Source organism: Homo sapiens, chromosome 9 (genome assembly GCF_000001405.40).
Source record: "Homo sapiens chromosome 9, GRCh38.p14 Primary Assembly".
Taxonomy (NCBI): domain Eukaryota; kingdom Metazoa; phylum Chordata; class Mammalia; order Primates; family Hominidae; genus Homo; species Homo sapiens.
The window spans coordinates 101,580,623-101,606,193 of record NC_000009.12 but is presented as its reverse complement, the minus strand read 5'-3'; the positions used below and the strand labels follow the sequence as shown (position 1 = coordinate 101,606,193).

General features: G+C 40.6%; 2 protein-coding genes and 1 long non-coding RNA gene across 3 annotated transcripts in view, besides 1 other annotated feature; 2 read left to right on the top strand and 1 right to left on the bottom strand.

Moving 5' to 3' along the window:
* The window catches only part of GRIN3A (glutamate ionotropic receptor NMDA type subunit 3A), a 169,296-nt gene that overhangs the window by 132,454 nt on the left and 11,271 nt on the right, over positions 1-25,571 (top strand). The gene's annotated exons all lie outside the window — the stretch shown is intronic.
* On the bottom strand, positions 10,379-11,220 carry LOC105376186 (uncharacterized). Its single transcript, XR_001746863.2, has 3 exons — positions 11,106-11,220; positions 10,686-10,851; positions 10,379-10,597 (listed from the first exon to the last, which is right to left on the bottom strand). It is a non-coding gene; the product is annotated as an uncharacterized LOC105376186 (long non-coding RNA).
* PPP3R2 (protein phosphatase 3 regulatory subunit B, beta) lies at positions 11,225-14,590 on the top strand. Its single transcript, NM_147180.4, has one exon. The coding sequence runs from the start codon at positions 11,273-11,275 to the stop codon at positions 11,783-11,785; it is 513 nt and encodes a 170-aa protein (NP_671709.2). The 5' UTR covers positions 11,225-11,272; the 3' UTR covers positions 11,786-14,590.
* Positions 19,424-19,473: an enhancer, noted in NCBI's record as "active region_28727". NCBI's record gives its function as "activates an Ori minimal core promoter by ATAC-STARR-seq in GM12878 lymphoblastoid cells {active_cell/tissue: GM12878}" and the evidence as "EXISTENCE:reporter gene assay evidence [ECO:0000049][PMID:35858748]".

The following is a 25,571-nucleotide window of genomic DNA, read 5'->3' as shown; positions in this document are numbered from 1 at the left end:
CAGCCACAGAAAAGTGGCCGCAACCCAACTGTCTGAGAGTGTGCAGCCTCTGCACTTCCAGACAGGGGTCCAGCCTGCGGGGAGAGAGACCATGCCCTTGCACTTGTTGGGAAGGAGAGAGAAGTACAATCAAGTCCACTTAAATGACCCTGGTCTTGGGAGTCAGACCACCCTGGCTCTCCCATCACTAGGAGGAGGCAGTTCTATGTCCTTGAGAAAATTACCTAACCTCTCTGAGCCTCAGTTTAATGCGTATCTTACTTGATTGTTACAAGATTTTCTTGCTGAATCCAGGGATCTCCTCCGTTGTTATTGAGTACTGAGGGAAACACATACTAAGCAAGAAACCAAACATTAGAGTGAAAGCTCTAACCTTGGAACCCAGAGACCTTGATTGCATGGGATAGGGAAAAGGAGAAGCATATTTTGAAACAGTCCAAAAGTAAATCATTAAACTCTCCAGTGATTTTATTATCAGGGGAAGTGCGCAGCAGGAAACAGTACCCCATATCTGAACTTTCCCCATCTTTTGCTTCACCCTATTCCTGAAACCACCAGCCTCCATCTGACCTTCAGTCCATTCTTGACCTTTCCTATCCTCCCCCAGCCTTTACCTTCACCCACTAAAAGATGGATCCATAGGGCACGGATGGAGTGAAGATGTCTATTAACCTCGTTATGAGGTAGTTTCAAAAATGGAAGTTTAAATGGTTGTTTTTAAGGAGCATGGTATAGGTGCAAAAGTAAAAGTAACCATGGTATCAAAACATCCACATCAAAATGTCATGAACACAAATTGCTTAACCTCCCTGACTTCCCTACACTGCAAAACTGAGATATTTTATGTTTCTGGCTTGGTATAAAGAATAGAGATCACATACATCAAAGTGCTGACACACAGTAGGTGCTGAATGGATAGTGTTAATCATATTTGTCCTGACACTGCTGCGAACCAGTTCCATGACCTTTGACAAATCACTTCACTTCTGTAAACTTGTTTCTTTGCCTTAAAATAAAGGACCATGTACCATGGCCAGCAAAGAGATGCTGTGATTCTCAAGTAGGATTGTTTAAGAGGATTCCTGGCCTAACTAATTGAAGATATGGGTCCCGGGGCACAGAGGAGGACAGTGGACTGACTGGCCTCCAGCCTGGGCTCCCCATCCCTGGCCAGGGACCCAGACTTGATTCCCAAGGACCACCAAAATGCATATATGATATATTAATATGTGTTTACCTATTAATATTTATTGAGAAAATGGAGTTCTCTCACAGCAGATCCATTCTTTCCTCTGTTAACTTCTTGGAAAGGGAAAGGGAAGGGTTAGTCAACTATACATTGAAAGCCAAAGGGAATCCCACAAGTCACATTGAGAAGCTTCAATGCCAGTCAGTTTTTTCTGACCAGTTTATCTTTAATTCATATTAAAAACTCAAAGGGAATGGTTAGGGCAGTGGGGGAGGGCAGTTTTAATGCAGTATTTTCTGCTCTTGACAGCTAGCCCACATCCCAACACCCTCCTGCCCCTTTCTCATTCCTACCCCTTCTCTTTTCCATTTAAAATGTCACTGTCTGCTCTTCAACCTGATGAAAGTTATGGGGAGGCAAGGAGAGTTAATGACTGTAGATTGCTTTAAATTGAAAACTCGTGTATATCAAGAGCCACCTTGACAGCTGAGTGCTTTCCTTAGAATAGCCTAAGTAATTAAGTTTAATATTTAAGCCAAGCATAAGATCAGATGGAACCTATCCAGGTAGTATGTTCTGAAAACCCGAAGAAGCACAAAGTTGTCCATGTATTCTTTTATGACATGGAGTAAAATTAGGCCTGAAGAAAGGGAAGCCAGTCTGAGAAAGACCTCATCTTCATCTGTCTTGCTACAAGAACAATTTCCAAATTCATTCGTTCTTTCTTTTGCTTCCTTTCTTCCTGTCTTTCTTTCCCTTTTCTTCCTTGTCTTTCTTTTCCTTCCTTTCCTTCATTCCTTCCCTTTCTTTCTCTCTTTCTCCCTCCTTCCCTTCCTTCCTTTTCTTTCTCTTCCTTTCTCCCATCCATCCATTAGCAAACGTGTTGAATTCCCACGTACCATGTCCCATGCTGGGTGCAGCCAATGCAGAGATGAATACAGAGCTCACAGGCAGAGAGCTCATAGGAGCTCAAGAGAGACTTGTGAAAAATACCCAATTCCACACCGCCACAGGGGCAGCAATAAATGAAGACATAAGGTAAGCCGTGACACAAACAAGGCCATAATTCACACATGGAAGAGCTAGAAGGAATCAAAGCAGGCTTCCTGGAGGAGGTAACCCCTGTAGCGGAAGAAGCCTCCAGGCAAAACCAGAGTAAAACACTGAGGCGTGAAATTGTAAGCAATGCAATTTGGCCTTGCCCTTCGAAGACACTGCACCCAATCATACTGGATTGACAGAATTGTATGCCCTGTTAATAGGGCCCCTTCCCGAGGGATTCTAAAATTACAGGTGGCTGCTTTCTTTGGCCCGCTTGTTATCCAGTCACAGGTAAACCCACAAGTAAATTATAGGCCTTTACTTTTCCTGTGCTCGGGCTTGTAGCTTCCCTACCACCTCCTCAAAGGCAGGGACATCTTTTCTAGTCTTATATGGAAGGCAGTCTAGAATACAGAAGAATTTCAGCTCTGGGAGCAACATACCAGGATTTGACTCCCAGCTCCACCACTGTGTGTCTACGCAAGCTGTGCAACTTCCAAAACTTCAGATCTTCCTCCAAACCCGGGAATAATAATAGGGCCTGACTGAAAGTGTGAAATATATTTAATGAGATCGTTTATGGCGAACACCTGGCTTGACAAATGTTCTCTCCTTCCCTGATTATAGAACCATGCACGCAGAAAAAATACATATATTTGGTGAATAATAAGCATAGACAAGAAATTACAGTTGGTGCACCCACCCTCTTAGGCCCATCTTGGTCCCATCTCGAAAAAAGCAGGAGCATCTTATCATTACAAGCATCTTCTAACTCCGAGATAAACACTCTTTTATGTATTGCTTACGTATGTTATAGAACCAAATAATTTTTTATTTCAAAATGAGAAATGCATGATTCTGGAATTTTCTACTTTTCAAATTGCTGGTTTAACTAACTTTTGTAGTGTTGTGTTCTTTCTTTCCTCTAGCTCAGTGTCTGAGTGGGAAAAAGTGAAGATGCTTTATACAAACCATTAGACTGCACTTAAAACAGATCTTTACGGAAACAATGGTAACTTGGTCTTTGCATGTAGTCAATTGTATTTCGAAGTTAGGCTCCTGTGTGAACAGGCCCAAGACCTACAATTCTCTGGTCTTGTTTTCCCCTCCCTCCGTATCATCACAAGATTAGGGCTGCTTCTCTGTTGCTTTCTGGCTACTATAAATAACACAAATTAGGATTCTGAGAGAAGGAAAACTAATTTCAGCAAGTGTCTCCTTCACCCTTGCTAACGACCAAGTAAACAGACCTCTCGGAATAAGAGTCCCCGCTTTTATATGCCAGAGATACTTGGGCATAAATTACACCCAAGACCACATACTGTTAAGAGTTCTTGCTTTTCCCCTGGTTAAATTCGGCAAACTCATGAATATTTATGAAATGCTATTTACTATGCAACTAAAAGGTATGAACGGTGCTAAAACTGATTAGGACTATTGTGAGAGACAGTCTTCCTTCCATTTTTTTAGACTTCCATGCACTAAAGTCTGTGGGGGATCACAGGAAATGGGACTCCTCACTCACCTCTATTCCCTGTGCAGAGAGGAGTTGCCTCCAGGCTTTGAGGATTCGGGTTTGAAGAAAGCGGAGAAAGCATGGAAATGTGTGAAGATTGCCATCTAGTGGCTATTGATGCGAGTTGTTACAAAATACTGCAAAAGCCATCTTTTTTCTTTCTCACAAAAGGCAAAAACCAAGTCTAAAATTGTGAGAAATTGCCCTGACATTTCCTCCAGGGTATCTGAGGACAATTCCTCCCCATGCGGCTGTGGGAGTTGGTAGAATTTCAGGACGTGTTGGATGAGAAGGCAACATCATGAGAGAGCCCTGGAGCCTTTATAGAGATGCCCCTCTTCTCACACAGTATAGGTGGCTTCCTGCAACATGAAAGCTTAGGGCTAGCTGGCCAGGGAAGCCAATGCACGCACATCTGGGGCCTCCTCTGAGCTCCTTCCCTCTGTCCTTCTGTCCAATAAGACTTCAGCCTAGGTGTTATGGGTTGGATTGTGTCCCCCAAAAAAGATATTGAGGTTCTGAGGTCCTAATTCTCAATACCTCAGAATGTGTTCTGGTTTGGAAATAGGGTCATTGCAGACATGTTTGGTTGAGCTGAGATGCAGTCATATTGCAGCAAGAGTGAACCCCGAATCCAGTATGACTGGCATCCTTGTCAGAAGCCATCTATCACACAAAGACAGACACTCAGGGAGAGCACCATGTGATGATGAAGGCAGAGAATGGATTTATGCATCTGCAAGTCAGGAAGGCCAAAGATGACCACAAACCACCAGGAGCTAGGAAGAGGCAAGCAAGGGTTGCCCTACAGGTTTCAAAGGGAGCATGACCCTGCCAACTCCTTGATTTCAGACTTCTAGCCTCCCGAACTAGGGGACAATAAATGTCTGTTGTTTAAGCCACCCCGTTTGTGCTGCTTCATTACAACAGCTCTTGCAAAATAATTAATACACTCCACATTTTACTTCTAGTGCCTCTTGCATCCCAGCTCAGGCTCTTCTAGACAAGCATTTGTAGATGTCATTGTTTCCTAGCTGCTCTCCCAGATACTGGTCTCTTGTCCTATTCAATCTACCCATAATGCCAGATTAATCTCTCCAAAATATAATTGTGATTAAGTTGTTCTTTTGATAAAACGTGTGCTTTCCCTACTGGGTAGAGACTAAATGTCTTAGCCAAACATTCAAAACCCTGCTTCATCTGGTTCTGTCTAGCTCATCTTCTGCTACTTTGCTCAAGTACTTCAGCCATTATAAGCAACTTGCTAATATCTACACCTGTACTCTTTCCCACTTCTGTGATTATGGTACTTGTTCCCTTTTCTCCCTCAGGATCAAATACTTCTTGAAGAAAGAAAAAAGTCTTCCTCTATTGTTCCCAGCAAGAAGTAATTTCTCAATTCTCTGAGTTCTTATAGTTCTTTTCCCTTACCTCTCTGATGACATGTTTTGTTGTCCATCTTGTATTATTAATTATAATTCTTTAATGCCTCAATTCACTCACTGATCAGCAAGCTTTCTGAGCAAAGACCATCTCTGAATGTCCCAATGCTTTACATGTTAAAACATGATTGAATAAATGATGCCCTATAAAGAATAATTGAGTAAATGTTGTCTTTTCTTCAGTGTATGGGGAATGGTCAAACCATCTTATCACTTCGTCCAATACCATGCTCTCCCTTGACCTCCCTACTCCGGTATGCTCCATATGCTCTCCCTTGACCTCCCTACTCCAGTCACACTGGCATTCTTTCAGTTCCTCCTACTTGTTTTGTTCCTCCTGCCCTAGGGCCTCTTTGCACATGGAGTTTCTTCTACCTGGAACACTCATTCCTTCCCAGAACATCTAGTTAACTTCTTCTGCTTCTTGAGATTGTAAATCAGTCATCATTTCCCCAGTAAAAGTTTTCTGTTGTCCAAACTCTCCTGGTACCATGTACTTCTCATCTGTAACACTCAAGGCAGGTGCTCCTTTACATCTATGGACATGATAATTTGGTTAATGTCCATCTTCCCATCAAAACTGTAAGCTCCAGGAGAACAGGGACAACAAGAAAAGTATCCACTTTAGGTCAGTATTATATTCTTCTCACATAGTAGATCCTCAATAATTATTTGTTGAGAAAACAAATAAATAGCTGAGTATATCTGTGTGCATGTATGCATACAGTCTACTTGAGTTTTTAAGCAAGCCTAAAGTAGGCAATAATTATAATCTCTACCATTCCTGTACCTACTATGTGATAGGCATTGAGCACCCTTCTTCTTATAATCTATCTCATTTAATCCTGAAAGTGATGTTATGAGTTAGTAATCATCATCCTTGTTTTACAGATGAGTGAAAAGATTCAGATAAGTAACTCTGCCCAAGGTCACAAAGTTGTTAAATAGCAAAACTTTGATTTAAAACCATACATGCCAAAATTCATTAAACACCATTTCAGTATTACAAAAGAAAACCAAACAGATGACAAACCTGATGCTCAAAAACAGTTTAAACTCGAGCTAGTAGTTCCACAGTCTAAACTGTGGCTAACGTCAGTACGCTTAGATATTAAATATGGTGACCGGCAATGCTACAGAAAGGTGAGAGCTTCCAACCAAATGTCAAGGACCACCTGTATAGCTTCTAGAACAGCTGTGTGACCTGGTCTCCTGACTGGCTTGAAAAATGAAGCCTTATATGAACCTCAGGTCTCATTTCCATTTCCGTTGGTTTGATTTTCCAATGTCAGTTATTTTTACATGTGACCTACTCAATATTTCTTTATCTAAAAACTTTTGAGGGAAAAAAATGACATGCTGAAATAGAGGTGCCATCAAGGCTCCTGGTTTCTTCCAAAACAGTTAGTCAACCCTTTTAATTTACTTGCTTCAGTGAATGTCCTACAGTCCACATCAATCCACAGTGATGAACAGAAAAGTAACAAACAGTGTTTTCCATGGAAATTACTAAGAATCATTTACAGAGAAAATCAAAACAATGGTGTTGAGTCCCATAATAATGCTGAGCTACATAGTTTATGAAAGGTAGAACAATGGGAACTCAAGTTCACATTGACTAAAACTCCAGATCTAGCATAATGTTACCTCCTCTACAGCACAGAGTAGAATGGTTCTGCTTGTACACCTGAATTATTTCAGTGAAGTGGTACCATCTTCCTAATACTGTCTGTGTAACCATTCAATATTCCTGTGACAAGATTTCACCTCTTACATAACATTTCTATATACGCTACCTCATCTGACTCTTACAATAACACATCGGTAGATGAAGCATGTGTAGGTATTATCACCATTTCACAGATGAGGATGTTGAGGCTGGTACAGCAATGGCTTCACTCAAAGGCTCACAGCTAATAAGGTAAAGAGCTGAGGCTGGAACCAACTATTTACCTCCTATGCTCTCTCCATTACCCTTTCCTACCTCCTAACCACACACTCACATAGGGAAATACAGCTAAGAGTTTTCACACTGGGAGCTCCTTTCTAAATGACTATCAAGGAATTACTCAGGAGAATGTAAGTGAGGAATCCATAAGAGTGCCTGATGGGCCAGTGATGTTGGTTACTGCATTTCTCAAGTCTGCAATGGAAGGTCTGTAATCAGTCCTCAAAGAGTTTTGAACTGGAGGAGCCAATTTTTATGCTGGTATAGCGTGTGAGCAGCCTGTGGCATACTGTAACCACTACATGAGGAGTGTTGTTAAATGGCTATATGTACACTTAGGTGTCCAGGGCAGGCTGGTATCCTTTAAGACTTCATCTCTACTAGTAGGGTAAGTAACAATAAAATTAGTAATAATAGCAATGATGATAATGACATTATATTGACTAACATTAGCTTTAATACTCACAAAAATGTACAAAATATATATTATTAGCCCCATTTTTCATATGGGAAAACTAATGTCAAGCAACTTGTCCAAGGTCTTACTGCTACTAAGTGGACTGTTAAGATTTGATGTTGGGTTGTCCCATTTTAAATCCTTTCTACCTTATAATATAATACCTAATTAATAATACCTCTTTTTAACCTAATTAATTCAATTGGGATAATAATTCAACCATCAAATATTTTAGCCTCCATATCTTTCCTTTTCCATTAAACTGTCTAGCTCTGTGCTGTCCACTATGATGGCCACATGTAGTTACTGAGCACTGGGAATGTTATGAGCTCTAATTGACATGTGCTGTAAATATAAAATACAGTACAAAAAGTGTAAAACAACTCATTCATAAATGATAATATTGGTTACATGTTGAAACGGTAACACTTTGGATATATTGGGTTAATATAAATATATTATTAAAATTCACTTCTTTGCTTTTTAATGTTACTAAAAATTTAAAAGTACATATATAATTAGACAGCACTGCTATAGATTATTATTCCAAGATTCATCTACTTTATCCCCACATACTGATCTCACAGAGAACCAACCAGTATGAAAATGTTTTTGCTGTTGAATTATTCTCATGGCTCATGAGCCTATAACATAAGATATCAAAACACTATGTTCTATAGTATATGTCAGACTGTCTTTATTTTTTACCATAATCCAAGCAAGAAAATATGTCATATTGCAAACCCAGAATGACCTGGTATTCCTTTATCATATATATACTATATTTAGTTTTACAACTTTATGAAGTAAACTTTTTACAACTTTATAAACAACTTTATGAAGTAATAGTACTTCCCCTTACAGATGATACTTTCTCTTCAATTATCTGCTGTTCTATTTTTTTGATGTTGTTTGTAACTCACTAAACCAACTTCATCACTCACTAATGTGTTGTAACCCACAGTTTGTAAACACAAGAGTGTCTGCAAGTGAGATACCAATTCTATCTACACAGAGGTGAAGGGATATTTTAGCAAATAATAAGATGGACCTGGCACTAATGAATGAGCTAGTGGAGGCCTGTAACTATAGCAGGATCTGTGGCCTATTCAGTTGGCAAAACTGAAGGGAGTTCAAAATGCTTCCTCTCTCCTATAGAGTCAGCACTAATGGACCTGTCTAATGTCCATCTGTTGTTCTGTCTGCTCAGCATTACCCTGTTCTTATAAGGAAGAGCATGTGCTTCTTTTGGTACCTGCTCTTCCTACCCAGCCCCCACTTCCCCCCGACCAGCTCCATCCATGAGGTTCAAATGGAAGCTCCCATATGTTATAAGCCATGTCTGATGGCTCATAGGTGGGAACCCAACCCAAGTGAGACCAATCAGAGCCTGTTCATGGGATTTATGGGCATCTAACTAGAACAGGGAAAAGTCCGTCTTTTCTGATGATAAAATCCCCAAAGTCTTAACTTGGAATCTGTCAGTGGTTGTGTCCTCTGCAATGTGGAAGAATTGCTTTACCATAGGAGAGAGTGAAGGAAAGAGAAGCAGAGGTGAAAGGCACAGAGAGGTCAATGGGCCCAACTCCTTGCAGGGCCAGCTTCATGGGCATGTGGCCCACGCAGTCTCATAAGGTCCCGTACTTGGTTTAATGTTCTGCTGTGGCCATCTTGAAGCTCTCAATCATTTTCAAACAAAGGACACTGCAAATTACATAACTGGTCCTGAGGCGTTGGTTCCAATATTTCCTTAAACCCAGTGGGATCCTCACCCTTCCTAAGACTGAATCATTCAGCTCTTCTTTAGATTATGTGAGATTCTTCCAACAAATTATCTTTCATGTTAAGCTTCTTAGAGGTAGATTCTTTTACTTGCAGCCAAGAAACTGGACTACACTGTGGTCAAAGACACAAGATGAGAGAAATAACACAATTCTAGAGGCTCCCAGCCCCAGTGCATGCCCAAAAGATAGAGTTCTGTCCTTGCCCCTGAGGTTTCTGATTTTTTCAGAACTGCACCTGCAGGGCCTGGATATTTCCCCCAGAGAGTCCAGAAAGGTCTTTGTGCTTTAGAAAGAACACAGGCTATAGTGGTTGGTATCATTTAGAGACCAACACTGATTTTAGGCATCTTGTAATATAATTTAAGGTGGTATCCTTAATATTGCAAATTCAATAGGCTTATATGCAAACTGTACCATGCTCATTTCTCTGAATAACTGAAAAGCAAGCAAATAAATGAAACAAAAAAACATTCCAATATAACAGTCTAATTGGGAAAGGGGGTTTCATTTGTGTAATGCCCATAATCAGCTTTAAAACATATCCATGGATTATCATTTGTTTATAGAGGAAAGTAAAATGGCCAGACTTAATGATAAGGTGATCAGTGGCTTAGTTTTGCTAGTTCCAGCATGGTTATCTTTAGACTGATATTTTGGCTGAACTATAGAACACAGAACTTGCCAACATTTTTTAAAGCGAAGGAGTGTTTGCATCTTTCAGTTTGATGTAGTGGCCTGAGGTTCCCCCAAGTCCCTTTGAACTGTTTGCTCTTGAACCACATTTGTTTCTTATGCATTTGGAGTAATTGATGCGCTCCGAAAGGAAGAAGGAATAAGAGGGAGCATGTGAGATTAGTCTTCAACAGAAAGAACAAATCTAGTTGAAACAAAAGGAGAAAAGTGAGATCATCCAGAGGCGACTGTCACTCTCAACACACACAAAAGGCTTCTTTGGGCACATTGCAGACCTTCCCCCAAGGTATTCTGCAGAATAGCCGCCAGGCACCAACAACAAAGATGTGACTCGGGCATGAGATGATGGATAAGAGGGAACAGAGTAACAGAGGTTGTGTTCTTGAGACCTGTGTCATCTTGAAAAACGCCCTGAATTCAGCATTGTTTATATTCCTCGGGAATATGTTAGTGCCTGTAGGTGATCCATGTAAGAAATTCTGCGCGGTATCTGCCTGGTCTCTTACAAACACTCTGAATCCTACGTCCTGAAAAAGGTACAGAAGGATGTCAATCCCGGCTTCCCCTCCCAGGGAATCGTGGAAAACATACTATATCAATGCCTTGATGTGTCACCTTGTTTCATCCTTACACTAGGTCTGTAAAGCAAGTATACAGTGTCCTTGGTTGCAGTTCAGTCATTCGGCGTATATTTATTAAGCACATATTGCCTGTGAAGCACTGTGCTTCTGGGATACTGCAGCGAATAACACAGGTGCGATCCCTTCTCCTTTGGGGTTTACTTTCTCAGAGAAAAAAAAAAAAGAAATAAGTAGATAAAATAATTGCCAGGGAAATTGGGGTTATCATGGAAAGGTACAAGGAGTTTGAGAGAAGGAAAAAGAGAAGGGGCAGCCCAGCTTTCCACCTCTGCCTCTCCCGGGCACCCCCAGGCTCCATTCTCTCCTCCCTATACTCCTGCCCAGACAGCACCCACCTCCCCTTCCGCCCCCTTTTCCCTCCTTCTTTCCCTCCTCTCTCCGCTCCCTCTCTGACCTGCCGCCCCTCCCTCCGCTCCCCTGCCCTTTTGCTCGACCAGGGCCCCCGGGAGCCCTCTACCCCCACCCCATGGCCCAACCGTCCGGGCACGAGCCCCGCCCGAGCTCACCGCCCCTGCTCCCCTCTCCGACCCTTTGAGCCGTGGCCGTTGCCAGATGTCCACAATGGGAAACGAGGCCAGTTACCCGGCGGAGATGTGCTCCCACTTTGACAATGATGAAATTAAAAGGCTGGGCAGGAGGTTTAAGAAGTTGGACTTGGACAAATCAGGGTCTCTGAGCGTGGAGGAGTTCATGTCCCTGCCGGAGCTGCGCCACAACCCGTTGGTGCGGCGAGTGATCGACGTCTTCGACACCGACGGTGATGGAGAAGTGGACTTCAAGGAATTCATCCTGGGGACCTCCCAGTTCAGCGTCAAGGGCGACGAGGAGCAGAAGTTGAGGTTTGCGTTCAGCATTTACGACATGGATAAAGATGGCTACATTTCCAACGGGGAGCTCTTCCAGGTGCTGAAGATGATGGTGGGCAACAACCTGACGGACTGGCAGCTCCAGCAGCTGGTCGACAAAACCATCATCATCCTGGACAAGGATGGCGATGGGAAGATATCCTTTGAGGAATTCAGTGCTGTGGTCAGAGACCTGGAGATCCACAAGAAGCTGGTCCTCATCGTATGAGCCTTTTTCTTACAAGCACCACCCAACAACTTCTGCTTTCTTCCCTATCTCTTTCAAGATTTGCTCAAGACGTCCAACTGTCTCTCTGACTTATCTGGAAGTATTTCTTTTTGTGAAGCCATATGTCCTAACAGGAGCTTCATCACCAACTCAGTGCTATTAATTCTCCTTCTCTGAATGACTCAGGGTACCCTATAGGGGGAAGAGCAAGTCAAATGAGCATAGTGGGGAAAGAAAAGGAAATGGCTTTTATAAACATCTTTTACTTTGTTTTGATTCAAAGACCAAACTAGAACTTTAAAAGTTCAAAAATAAGAAAGTATACATTTTTGCTGTTATTTCTCATCATTTTGTATATGGGAGGAAATTTATAATTTGCATGGGTGTTAGGTGAACTGTTTTCATTTGCTTGTGTTCAGATATCTTGCCAGATTGTTAACTTCCTATTGTAGCAACAGGGACAAATATATTTGTCTTTGCTGGGCATCTCGTAATCACTTTTCTTAGGGGACAGAATCCCATCTTTTCCTTCGGCAGATTGCAGCCCCATTCCCCACAATGCATCCAGAAATCGCTGTGCATGTTTGAGGGGTAGGAGTTCATTTGGCCTCCTCCTGACTTGTTGCTCCAGCTCCTGAACAGAAACTAGCTTCAGGGCTCTTATAGGAAATGCTAAGCCTGGACTAAGTGCCCAGCTCAGCCATCATCCTCATTAGCAGTGGGTTTCCAGGGTTGGCAGCCCACACCAGCATTAATTTCAATGAAGGGGACCTCCAGCTAAATAGGGCAAGCAAAGTGTTCTCCCAGAAAGTGCTCTCACCTCCGACACTGGTCCCTACCCCCAGGTGGAGACAATGAGACATTTAGTTAGTTGTCCTACGGAGGAGAGGCAGTAGAGTCAGGCTGCAGTGGAATCTCCCTAGGATGCCAAAGTGGCATTATGTCTGTTGCTCACAGATGCAGAGACTGACAATTGTGTCTCCACAGCAGAGGTGGATGCTAGCTACACCAGCTATGCTGATTTTGAAAATCAGATCTGAGGCCTAGAAGAGAAACTGAGAGCTCTCTCATTCCAGGAAGCCTTTTCCCTAGTGGAACATTCAGTGCAGAAGTCCTCACACACTAACAGATCTCCACCATTGGGTGAGCCGGAGCCTGTGGTTCCAGGGGAGATCCAGAATGCATGTGTCTCTTCCCACGCATTTATGTCATGTTGGTAGCTTTAGATCAGCCATGGTGAGAAAAGAACAAAAGCTTTTAGTTGTTTTTGTTTTGTTTTGGAGAATTTGTTTACCAGTAAATACATCACTGCCTGTACCCCAAATGTTACCAGCTCCCTGAGGTGTCCCACATACTATTGTGAGTTCTCAGAGCATGAACTGTCCTCAGAAGAGCAGGGCTAGGACTTGTCCCAGCATCTGTGCCTCCATACCAATCCTCTTTCTCACAGAGAACCACTTCCCATATAAGATGCTTAAGGCTCTCAAAACAGCAGAACAATGAAACATACTCTCCCTACACTTGCTTAGCCAAGAGATACCACTCAGGTAACTTTTTTCAGGACATGGAAGATCTGTTTCAAGGAGATTTACTGCTATTTTATTTGGAAGAAGCTGGCAACTGGTCTTGACCAAAATAGAAAAAAAAAAAAAAAGTCCACAAATTTAATCACTTGTAGGGAACCCATCTATCAAGGTACCCTACCATATACTTTTGTATTTAATAGATTACTTAGAAACCACAAAAATAGGAATCCTTACCCCTTCAATTCCTGTTCAACCCTAAAAACTGTGATAAACGCTCCCAACCCTGTGGTGATCAGGGTTATGTAATGTTCAAAGATTCAGACACACCTGGGTTTGGATTCAGTTGCAACTGGGTTGTTATCACACTCACTTCTTTTTAGCTGTGTGAGCATGAATAATTTACTTAGCCTCTCTGTGTCTTTCCACCTAATTAAAGAGGATCCACCCCAGGGTTATTTTGAGGATTCAAAAAGGCATGCAACACACCTGGAGCACAATTCCACTTTCATTCAACTAATTCCCTTCCCTTCCCCCTTCTTCCCCTTCTACAAGATCAATATGTAAAGGAGACATGAGGCTTACTGGTTGCTTTTGAACACTTACTTAGTTCTTAGCTACACCCACTCTAAAATTAACTGGACATTAGTGTACAGCCCATGTCCAAGCCCAGAGAGAAAACAATGGGAACAATTTCAAGGTCCTCACCACTCCTTCATTTGCAGAGGGGACAACAGACTTTCTGACCTGAGAACTGGAGAATTTTTAAAACAAAATCTCTCATTCCAGCCCAACCTATTTAACTTTTTGTGGAGGAATTTTACATGGAGGAAGTGAGCACATGTCATGCTAGCCAAGAGGACATTATTGTCATTAAAGAGAGGCATTATTTATACACCCTGCAATGTGCACATTAAAATATGGAAATTTTAAAATTATGACCAAGGGCTTGAAACATATTGGATTACATGCTCACATTTAACAAAGAGAGGAAATGTGTTTCAGTTTCTGGAGTGGCTGGAATTTACAAGCTAATTGTTCAATAAATCTACTCAAGATAGTTACCTAAGGCTTTGTGGCAATGACCTTGAACTGAGAGCCTGTATCTGGATTTAGCACTTGAAAGATCTAACTGGATATTTGGGTTAAAAGAATCACATTTATTCCCAAATCGGAATGCTTTGTTTTTCCTGTCAGTTAATTGCCAGTTGCCAACAAATCTAGTTCTATACAGTTTCTTGGGATGATGATAATAAACATTTATTGAGCAATTGTCCCATAACTTTTGATATAACCTTTGTTATACATATCATTTAATCATCATAACAACACTGTGAGTCTGGTGCCATTATTTCAGCATTACAGATGATGCCATGTAGAGATCTAGCATCTTCTCCAAAGTCGCCCAGCTGGTAAGTGGCAAAGCATGGATTTGAACCAGGCTTTCTGACCCCAAATCCTGAGCTTTATTTCTACCTCTCTGCATTTATCTTATTTTTATAGCTCCTATATCTACCTGTTACAAATTATTTATTATAGTCTTAACCATGTCATCAAATCAAGCCTCAGTTTTCATAAATGATGAAACTGAAGCCCAAAGAGGTAAATTGCTTGTCAAAGAACAAGCAGCCTCCACCTCTTTGGTTCTATGCATTGCAATGAAACAGATATGTTAGACGAGACAGTTTTAAGCCATGTTCCACCTTTGGCTCATCTTGAGAAACAGGTGACAATATTTAGATTAAACCGATAACGCAAACCAATATGCTCTGAGGCTATAGAGATCAGTCACAATATGTTGTTATGAATCCTATGTTAATTGGATTATGTCTGCTCTGTACCATATGTTGCAATCCCCAGACCACTAGACACTCTTTTTGAAACAGAGAAAAAAATATGGCCTCAGCAAATTCAATTTAGCTTTGGTGTATATTCTCTCATGCTTTAGAAACATTCTCAAGGAAAAAATATCTTCCAGACATTTTTGTTAATTACAAATTCCTAAGCCACTGTCTGAGGAACAGTATGAATTTTTTAAATGAAGACAATTTTTTATTTAAAAAAAGTATAAATTCCATTCTCTACTTATAGTACTGACTCTTTCTTTCTGTTAAGAGATAGAGTAGGTAGTTAGTCTGCTATGGTGTTATATCTATTTTGAATACTTTGAACAGGAGGAGGCTCGGATGTTTTTAAAAAGAGTGTTGGCCGGGCGCGGTGGCTCATGCCTGTAATCCCCGCACTTTGGGAGGCCGAGGCGGGCAGATCACGAGGTCAGGAGATCGAGACCATCCTGGCCAACATGGTGAAACCCCATCTCTACTAAAAATACAAAAATTAGCTGGGCGTGGTGGCACGTGCCTGTAATCCCAGCTACTCGGAAGGCTGAGGCAGGAGAATTGCTTGAACCAGGGAGACAGAGGTTGCAGTGAGCTGAGATCACACCACTGCACTCCAGCCTGGGTGACAGAGCGAGATTCCATCTCAAAAAAATAAATAAATAAATAAATAAATAAATAAATAAATAAATAAATAAATAGAGTGTCATTATGGTAGAGGAACAAGGCCACCAGACTGAGAATCAGACCGGACTTCTCTGCTGCCGTGTCAACTACCGTACCTACCCCAGTAGCCAATGACTGTGAACTATAAATCATGAATCATCAGGAATTAGCTGATTCATAATGAAAAATTCTAACACTGAAGGGTCACCGTAGTAGCAGTAAAGCTGTGTAGATCAGAAGACAGTCTGACTACTCACAGGCTAACTCTGACCTACAAATGTTTGCTTTCGTTGTTACTGGTTTTACATGGTGTTTGTTCTCACAATGTTTTTTAAAAATTACCAATATTTTAAATAAAACCTTTAAAGATTTTAAATAAAAACCTAAATTACTACAAAGAAATGCAGGTCACTCTAATATGGAGGTAGCTTTTTATTGACTAAGGAGTCTCTGAAATATTGAGATGAAATTAAGAGTTTCAGTGAAGAAAAATTAACATAGTTACACTCTTTGGCACAGAAGTTCAAAATGGACTGAAGGGTTCACTATTTTTTAAAGATATAACACTGGACACAAAATATTTATCCCCATAATCAATATGTTCTAATGCCTGAAACAGTAGAAAAATGTACAATAATCAAAATAAGTATAGCTGTGTAAAACTTCAAACTTTTATATAATAAAATATAACAAAACAAAGAAAACATAAAAAGGGAGAAACATAACATGTTAGCAAAAGGGTTAGCAGTTTTTCAAAAAAAAGCTTCATTGTGTCTGATATGCATAAATAAATATGCAAAAAAGTCATTATATGATTCATTCAAAAGGAGATAGGTAAAACAAACATGGAAAAATAGGCTTGCTAATTCAATAAATACAAATTACAATATTTAAAACAGGAAAAATGAATAATTATAAAACAGTTGGCAAAAATAGAAGCCTTCTAGGCATTGCAGTATCTTTGGTGGCATTGGGAATGGCTTTCACCCTTTTTATGGGTCATTTTACACATCACAAGTCATCAGAACAGTTGTATCCTTTGACCAGGTAATCTCACTCATTGCAATGTATATCTCAAAGAAATAAAAATATTTTAAAATGCTATACATGGCCAGGTGCAGAGGCTCACGTCTTTAATCCCAGCACTTTGGGAGGCCGAGGCAGGTGGATCGCTTGAGGTCAGGAGTTCAAGACCAGCCTGGTCAACATGCTGAAACCCCATCTCTATTAAAAAAATACAAAAATCAGCCAGGCGTGGTGGCACATGCCTTTAGTCCCAGCTACTTGGGAGGCAGAAACAGGAGAATCATTTGAACCAGAAAGGCGGAGGTTGCAGTGAGTTGAGATCGCTCCACTACATTCTGCCCTGGGAGTCACAGTGAAACGCCATCTCAAAAAAAGAAAAAAAAATACTATACACAAAATTTTTATTGTAGCAATATTTGTCGTATATACCATAAATTATAATATTTAAAAAATTAAACAACCACAGTTTGGGAGTAGTCAAGTCAATTATAACAAAAACAATAGGTGATAGTATTAGGCAACTAAAGTTAATAAATAAAATAATATTTAGAAAATAATATTTTTAGAAATATTAAAATAGTTTGTTAGAAAATAAGTTCTTTTAAAAGCATAATGCAAACTTGTTATATCCTATGTTTAGAACTCTGAAGAATATGTGTGCATATGGTCATTGTTCAGAAGAGAAAATGGAGCATTGAAAGTAATTGTTTTATAGTACAAGGATTATGGGTAATCTCACATTTAGTTTTTAAAAATATTTTTCTGAGTCGTTTTAATAATAAATTTTTCAAAAAACTGCACAACAGAGCTAATGTGGCAAATTAAGTACAATTTCAACCCTAAAAGATGGTCGCCCAAGCTTAAAAGAAATGGGGGCTCAAGAATCCCAAGAAACAGGGAGAGAGAAGCATCTTCACAGCAACATGGGCAGTGCCATGTTGATGAGCCACTAAGCAGTTTCCAGGTTAGAGGAATGCAGAGAGTGCTGTCAAAATCCTTGTTTATCCAAATGTGTGAGCACTACTCAGGCTCATGCAGTGTCTCCCTGGATTTTGTGTTAATAAATTATCTCCTCTTCTGTTTCTTTTGTTAAGTGTGATCTTTCACTATGTCTTGGTTAATGAGAAACTTCCAGGTTCTCTGAATGAATCTTTTTTCTCCCTCTTCATGATTCTTGTTAAATATATATGTTTTAATTCCAAATGATTGCACCGCACAATCTTACCTAACTCTCTTCAACCAGACTCTCTCACCTGGGAAACTCTGTCTTTGGTACATCTGGAGCCCACATTTCATGTGGATATCATTCTCCTACTTCTCCCCAACAAGGGGCCATATGTATAGACACAGCAATGAATCTGCCAAGTTCTTTTGAGCAACTAACTATTCTTCTGGGCAAAATAATCAGGAGGCAATAAATAAATAAATAAATAAATAAAATAGATACCAGGTCTTCAAAATTAGAAATAGCATTTGCTTCTTCCTTGTCCTGCTTCCAAGCATCTATGAGTCATCCATATTTCAGAAGCACCACAGCCTTTTTCTTTTCCTTACCTCTCATTAAAATCATTATTTCTCCCCCTGCCACCAGCTCTCTTATTAAGGAAAAAAATTCTTGAACATCGCATTTGGCTGTGCAGATCCAGAGAGGAGATGATACAAAGCTTAGTGCATTAGGTCACTGAAAAATACAATTATTTTCCCAGGTTCTTGCAGTCATTTTGCTCTGGGGAAAAATATTTAATAGGGAATGTCAGAGTAAATGTAATTAAGTTACTTTTCAGACATGTGCTTTTTATTTTTTATTGAACTTACTATATACTAGGCTGCTGGAGACAGGCAAAAGCAACACAGCCTTACCCTGTCAGAGAAGACTTCCTAAAACAGGCTCCACCCGTTCATTTCTGAGATCTGCGTCAGGATACAGTCTATCTCAAAAGAAGTTATATTCACACCTCGGAGCTAGAGGACCTTAATCCTTTAAACAGTACATATATTGAATCAGATTATTTGGTTGCAAGCAACAGATTTTTTTTTTTTTTTTTTGAGATGGAGTCTCGCTCTGTTGCCCAGGCTGGATTGCAGTGGTGCAATTTCAGCTCACTGCAGCCTCTGCCTCCCGGATTCAAGCAATTCTCCTGCCTCAGCCTCCCGAGTAGCTGGAACTACAGGCACCTGCCACCATGCCTGACTAATTTTTGTATTTTTAGTAGAGACAGGGTTTCACCATGTTGATCAGGCTGGTCTCGAACTCCTGACCTCAGATGATCCACTTGTCTCGGCCTCCCAAAGTGTTAGGATTACAGGCGTGAGCCACTGCGCCCGGCTGCAACAGATTTTTAAACTTAAGCAAAACCTATCAAAAGAATAACGGGAAAGCTCAATGTTTTGAAGTAAGAAAGAGAGTGACAGATGAAGCCTCGAACCACAGCACTCCAAGGATGCTAGTGCAGGAACTAGGGGACTATGTCTTTGGGGCACTGACATTGGAAATGACTCATCTCCAAACACCTTTGATATCCAGTGTTTCTGTTTCAGATTCACATTGACTGGCCTTGAGTCTCATGCTTTGCCTGGTGAACAGGGAGCAGGGAGTCTGTGATTGGTAGATACACCAAAACCACATGAAGCAGGAAGAGGGCAGTTCCCCAAAGAAAGGATCCTAAGAAAACAAAATCAATACATTCCTCCTGAAATTTTTGCATTCAGTTTCCAGTGTTTTACTTCAGTAATTTAAAAAATTTTTTGTCCCAGTTTCAACAGTAGATCCCTAGATTGGTGAATATTAGCATGATCAGGTCAGGCTAGCAAAACTGGGCCTTGTTTCCTCTCCTTTTAATTGAGAATGTCCATCTCCACCCTTCTCTCTTAAACAACTGTTCTAGGAAGCTTCTGTGATATAATGAGACTGTTTGGGATCGGGGGTGGGGGAAATTATGCAAATTTATTTTATACAAAAAATCCTAGTTTTCATATGCTTTCATTCATTCATTTAAAAAATATTCACCGTGCTGGGCACTGTTCTAAACAAGAGTATGTATCGAGCAAAATGGACAAAAGTGCTGCCCTCCTGTAGCTTACATTCTACTTTGCTGGGGAAATAGGCAATAAACAAATAAACACATACTATGTCAAGAGAGAAATAAAGCAAAGTAAGAGAGATAGATTGTATCTGAAAGAGGATGGAAGGGGGAAAAGAATTTGCCTTTTTAAGCACAGTGATTAGGGTAAACTTCATGGATAGGTGACATTTGAGAAGAAACCTAAAGAAAGTGAGGGAAGGAGCAATATTGATTCCTGGCAGAAGAGTTTACAGGCACGAACAGAAAATGAAAATACCCTCAAGTGGCAAGTTGCTCAATAGATTTAAGGAACAATAAGGAAGCCCAAATGGCTGAGCAAAGTCAACCAGCGAGAGAGAAGAAGGATATGAGGAAATAGATCTTGTGAGGCCTCATAGCCCATTGCAAGGACTCTGAATTTACTCCGCAAGAGACAGAAAACCATGACCAGGCATTGAGCACAGGAGTGACATGACAGTCATTCTCACTGCTGTGAAGAAGACAGAAGGGGTTAGGGAAAACAACTAGGAGGCTGTCTCAATAATCTAGGTGAGGTGAGAGGGGATGGTGGCTTGGATCAGGGTGGTTGGTGGAGGTGGTGGGATGTTGAATTCTGGATATACTTTGAAGGTCGGTTCCACCATATTTGCAGATACACAGGGTAATGGGATGCTAGAGAAAGACAGGAATCAAAGGTGGTTCTAAGGTTTTTTTCCCTGTGTCATGGCAAGGATGGAGGTTCATTGTGATGAGAAAGACTGTGTAAGCAGCAGGTTTCAGAGGGAAAATTAGGAGTTTGCTTTTAATGTGTTATCTTTGAAATGTCCGTTCATTACCTAAGTAAAGAGGCAGAGTAGGAAGTTAGGACAGAAAAGCCCCCAACTCTTGGGAGTCATTGACATCTGGGTGGTATTTAAAGCTGACTCTGAATGAGAACATGAGTGTAGCTGAAAAACTGAAAGCATGCCTATGTTTACAGTCAGAAAGATGAAGAAGAAAAGCAAAAGAGACTAAGGTACAACAAAGAGAAAGAAGTATCACAAAAACAAAGTTAAGAAACTATACCAAAGAAGATGGAGTAATCAATGGCGTCCAAGCTGCCGATACATGAATAAGGTGAAAACTGACCGTTAGATTTGGCAATATGGAGGCCATTTTTTACTTTTACAGGAATTGTTTGACAGGTGATGGGAGGGGACAAAAGTCTGATTGAAGAGGGTCTAAGGGAGAATGGGAGAAAAGGAATTAGAAGCAATGAGTATAGACAACACTCTAGAAAACCAGAGAAATCAGGTGGTTGCTATGTGCTGGGAGGTGTGGAATGGGCACAAGGAAGGATTAGCTGCATAGATCTTGATTAGTAACATCAAAAACAAATGATGAGTGAAACACTTTATCTGCATTTCTTGCTGGAGACTTGAGAACTAGTCACTACTCGAGCCAGCTGTCAGATGTTTCAAGTGACGACATCTGAACAAAATACAAAGCAGGGTTTGGGCAACAACAAAGTTTATAATCTTATCCTATACATGTTACTGATCTGGTCAGAGACCACACCTGTGATAGTACAAACATCTCCTTTTATCTGAATTTGGTCCATTCCTAGAAATGTGTTGGCTAGTAAATTTATAGATGGTGGAAGCCCTTTCCATTATTTCAAATGGAAAAAATAATAAAGTATTCCTATTTCATCCAAAAATCTCAAGCAGTTTCCCTAAATTCGCTAAAACACTCTTAGACACCTGTAGACATTTAATATCTAATGCACAATGCATGGATATGTGACAATCTACCAAGAATTTCTGCATAACATAAAGCATTTAAAACATTAGTTGTATAGTGCATAATTTGTTGGTATTCCTCCATGCAACATGCAGAGTACAGTATCAGATACAAACTATGTTTTTTCTTCACAGTGTAGTAAATATATACTAATGTAAATTAACAATAAAATGCTAAAGAAACATAATGAATATAAATAACCTTTAGAAAAATGAAATACATGAGCAAGGCAATTTTTTGAATGATTACTTACTAGTTAAAGAGTTGCCTAAGTGAGATGGGGTGGGCTAGAGTAAGTTTGTGAAGGACCAACTGGAGCAATAAATGCCTGAGATTTGTCCCTGGCTCAATCCTGGGACTAGCCGGGTGCAGTGGCTCACACCTGCATTCCCAACAATTTGGGAGGCTGAGGCGGGCAGATTACCTAAGGTGGAGAGTTCAAGCCTGGCTAATATGGTGAAACCCTGTCTCTACTAAAAATACAAAAATTAGCTGGGTGTGGTAACACATGCCTGTAATCCCAGCTACTTGGGAGGCTGAGGCATGAGAATTGCTTGAACCCGGGAGGCAGAGGTTGCAGTGAGTCAAGACTGTGCCATTGCACTCTAGTATGAGCCTCAGAGTGAGACTCTGTCTCAAAAAATCCAATCAAATCAATCAATCCTGTGACAGCCTTCTCTCCCTGGCCCTTGAGTCTCTGGAAGTGTGTGGCTATGAGCTAGCAAATGAAGCTGCAGCTGAAGCAATGGGATAAAGGGGGAAAAAACAACAACCTCAAAACATATGTTTGTTTGCATTCTTTTTGCATTCATTTACATGGCCCTTGACAGCATGAGACTGGACTTCTGCTTGCATTTCTGAATGTGCTACCACTCAAGTCACTTGCAGCTGCAATTATCATTTTGTCTGCATCACCTGAGTGTATTTTAAATATTTGATATTGAATATTCATAACTCCTTCTTTTCTTCCTCTGACCAATAATGAGTATCAAGTTGAGCAGTTTTTTACTAGAAAGAAAGTTTTCACTTGATAATATGGGGAAGATGCACATATGCACAGCACATTTAAACAATGTGATCCTAGGGGAGGAACCGCTGAATTACAAAGGCAGCTGTATGTCTTGTCACTCAGACTCAGACACAATTGAAACATTTTCTCTGGTGTTCACAGGCAGATGATAGTGGATTTTCCATTCCAATGTGAGTTTTAAATAAAAAATTGTGATAGTTGTTATAGCGAATAGTGAAGATTCAACTAGAAAAGGATACCTATAAATGGCGATTGTTTGAGAAGCATTGCAGGCTTTGGCATCAGACAGTCCTGGATCCGCAGCCTGGATCCCGACTTAGTAGCTTGCATGATCTTGGGTAAGTAAGGTTATTAACCCCTATAAACCTCTGCTTTCTCAAATGTGAAATAAGGATAATAACACTTAACTTACAGGGTAATTATAAGATCATAATACAGGTATATTGTATCTGGCATATGTATTAAATGCCAAATTTAAAAACAATAACTACTTCTGTTAGTCTATCAGCATGTGGGTATAAACAGCAGAAGTTTAAAGAAAAAAATGTATAATATAAACAATACGGCCTATTTGTTATTGAGGTACTAAGAGAAAAATAAGACTAATCATTGTTATGCACAAGGAAACAGAGGGAGTCATGTCCATAAAGGCAAGATGACTCACTGCAAGTTACATCTTTCCTCCTCATCTTGGCAGTGTCTTATAAAAAAGCAGGGCCCATCTGCTCAGAGTTTAACTGAATGTTTGATGATGTTACAGTCCAAACTAAATTCCCCCAGTCTGTTCTTAATCCACAGCAATAACTCACTGAATCCTTCATATTATAGCCATATCCTGTACACATTAAAATAGGTCTAGGTCAAGGACTATTTTCAGACACATTTGTATGTACTTTCTGCATGTCAGGTTTACATAACTAGTCACCATTTGCACACAGAGATGTCCCAGGAAAATCCCTAGTACCTCTGAAGCCCTTGGGGTCCAACGTGCTTCCCTACCAAACCCTTTCCCAGACCAGCATTCCTTGTTTCGTAGGGCTGGGCTTCGGCCTGCATTCCCAAGTCATCTGCCCAATTTTCCTGCCTTGTGCCAGTCTCCGAGCCCCTGCTCAGCTCTAGTCTTTCCTTTTCTAGGGACCCTAACACTAGTCTTTGATTCACAGCCTGCAGTACTGGCATGGAGGGAAAGAGATTTCCTGAGCTAGGCTCCAACACAGCCTGAAATCTCCGACCTTTTCTTCTGAGTCCTGACCCCCAGATAGACTTCCCTATGCACCCTATGCCTGAATCATGCCTGGCCGGCTGTTTCTCCAGAATAGAGGTGGAGAGAGGTGGGGAGAATGAAAGGAAAACCTTTAAAGAGAATGGGAGGATCATTCACATCAGACAAATGAGTCAGTGAAGACTGTGGGCTCTGAAAACAGACGGCATGGGTTTGAATCCCAGCTCTAACCTTCACGAGCTATGTGACCTTGGACAAGTTATTGAACTTCTTTGTTGCTCAGTTTCTTCACTTATAAAATGGAGATTATACCAGTATTTACCTTATAAATTGTCATAAAGATAAGGCAAGTTGCTACATTGATAAAGTGCTCAGAATTGTGCCTTACACATATTCAATGCTAAATAATTATAAATGATAATGATGACCAAAAGCTTCCAGCAAAGGGATAACACCCAGGCTCCTTAGTACGGCATCTGAGGATTTGCCTAGTGTGGCCCTGTTTCTCTCTCACTGCATATCTTTGTCCATGTGTGCCATTATAACAAAATACCCGAGACTGGGTACTTTATAAAGAAGAGAAGTGTATTCCCCACAGTTCTGGAGGCTGGAAGTTCAAGATCAAAGCACCACCAAGTTTATTGTCTTAGTAAGGGCCCAGTCTCTGCTTCCAAGATGGCATCTTGTTGCTTGTCCTCCACAGGGGACAAATGATGTGTCCTCCCATGGTGAAAGGCTGGAAGGGCAACAAAAGGGACTAGCTAGCTTCCTCAAGCCCTTTTATAAGGGCACTCATCCCTTCATAAGGGCTCTTAATACCAACCCTTGGAGTTTAGGTTTAAACATATGAGTTTGAGAGGGACATATACATTCAAACTATGGCACTATTCATGCCTTGTATACTTTTCCTTCAGCCACAGCAGTCAGTTTCACAACACTATACCACTGTCCAGGAAAGTCATGTCTTTTTTCCTTTGTTTATGCTACCCTCAGGTTAGTATGTTCACTTTCCCCACCCAACCTCCCCATCCTGCCTGTCTTATTCAAATGTTATCTCATGAACCAGCTTCCCCACAAATCCCAGGAAGCATGGATCAAATGTATCATGGAGGTATATGTTTGTTTTCTCCCTAGACTCAAGCTGTTTAAAAGGAAAGATATAACTTCCTTCTATCTCTATCCCATGATACGCAGAAGAGTGCCTGGCACCTAGTATTAACTCAATATATTATGTATTTTTACTTCTACGGGATTGACTCTTGTCATTGATGTCAATGGCTAAATAATGGCTGTTTTAGAGTACATGTGAGGGTTTTCTTAATCTACACAAATCACTTAGCAAAGTGCTGGCCACAGATATTTATTGTAACTACTATTGTTGCTATAACTGCTGCTGTTTTGGTATATAGCAGTAGAGCAGAAAGAGCCCAGGCTTTGGAGCTGAACAGAAATGGACTGAAAGACCAACTTTGCCACTTAAAAGTTGCAGTAACTCCACTTTCCTTAGTTATAAAATAGACGTTATATATCTATTTTAATGTAAAACACTTGGCAGAAAGTAAGCAACCAATAAATATCATTAAGTTCCTTCTCTTTCTCTTCTATGCCTTTTTTGTGGCTTGGCTCGGTTTACTACA

Excerpts from the sequence above, each read along its gene's own strand:
- PPP3R2 (NM_147180.4), top strand. The coding sequence starts at position 11,273 with ATGGGAAACGAGGCCAGTTACCCGGCGGAGATGTGCTCCCACTTTGAC.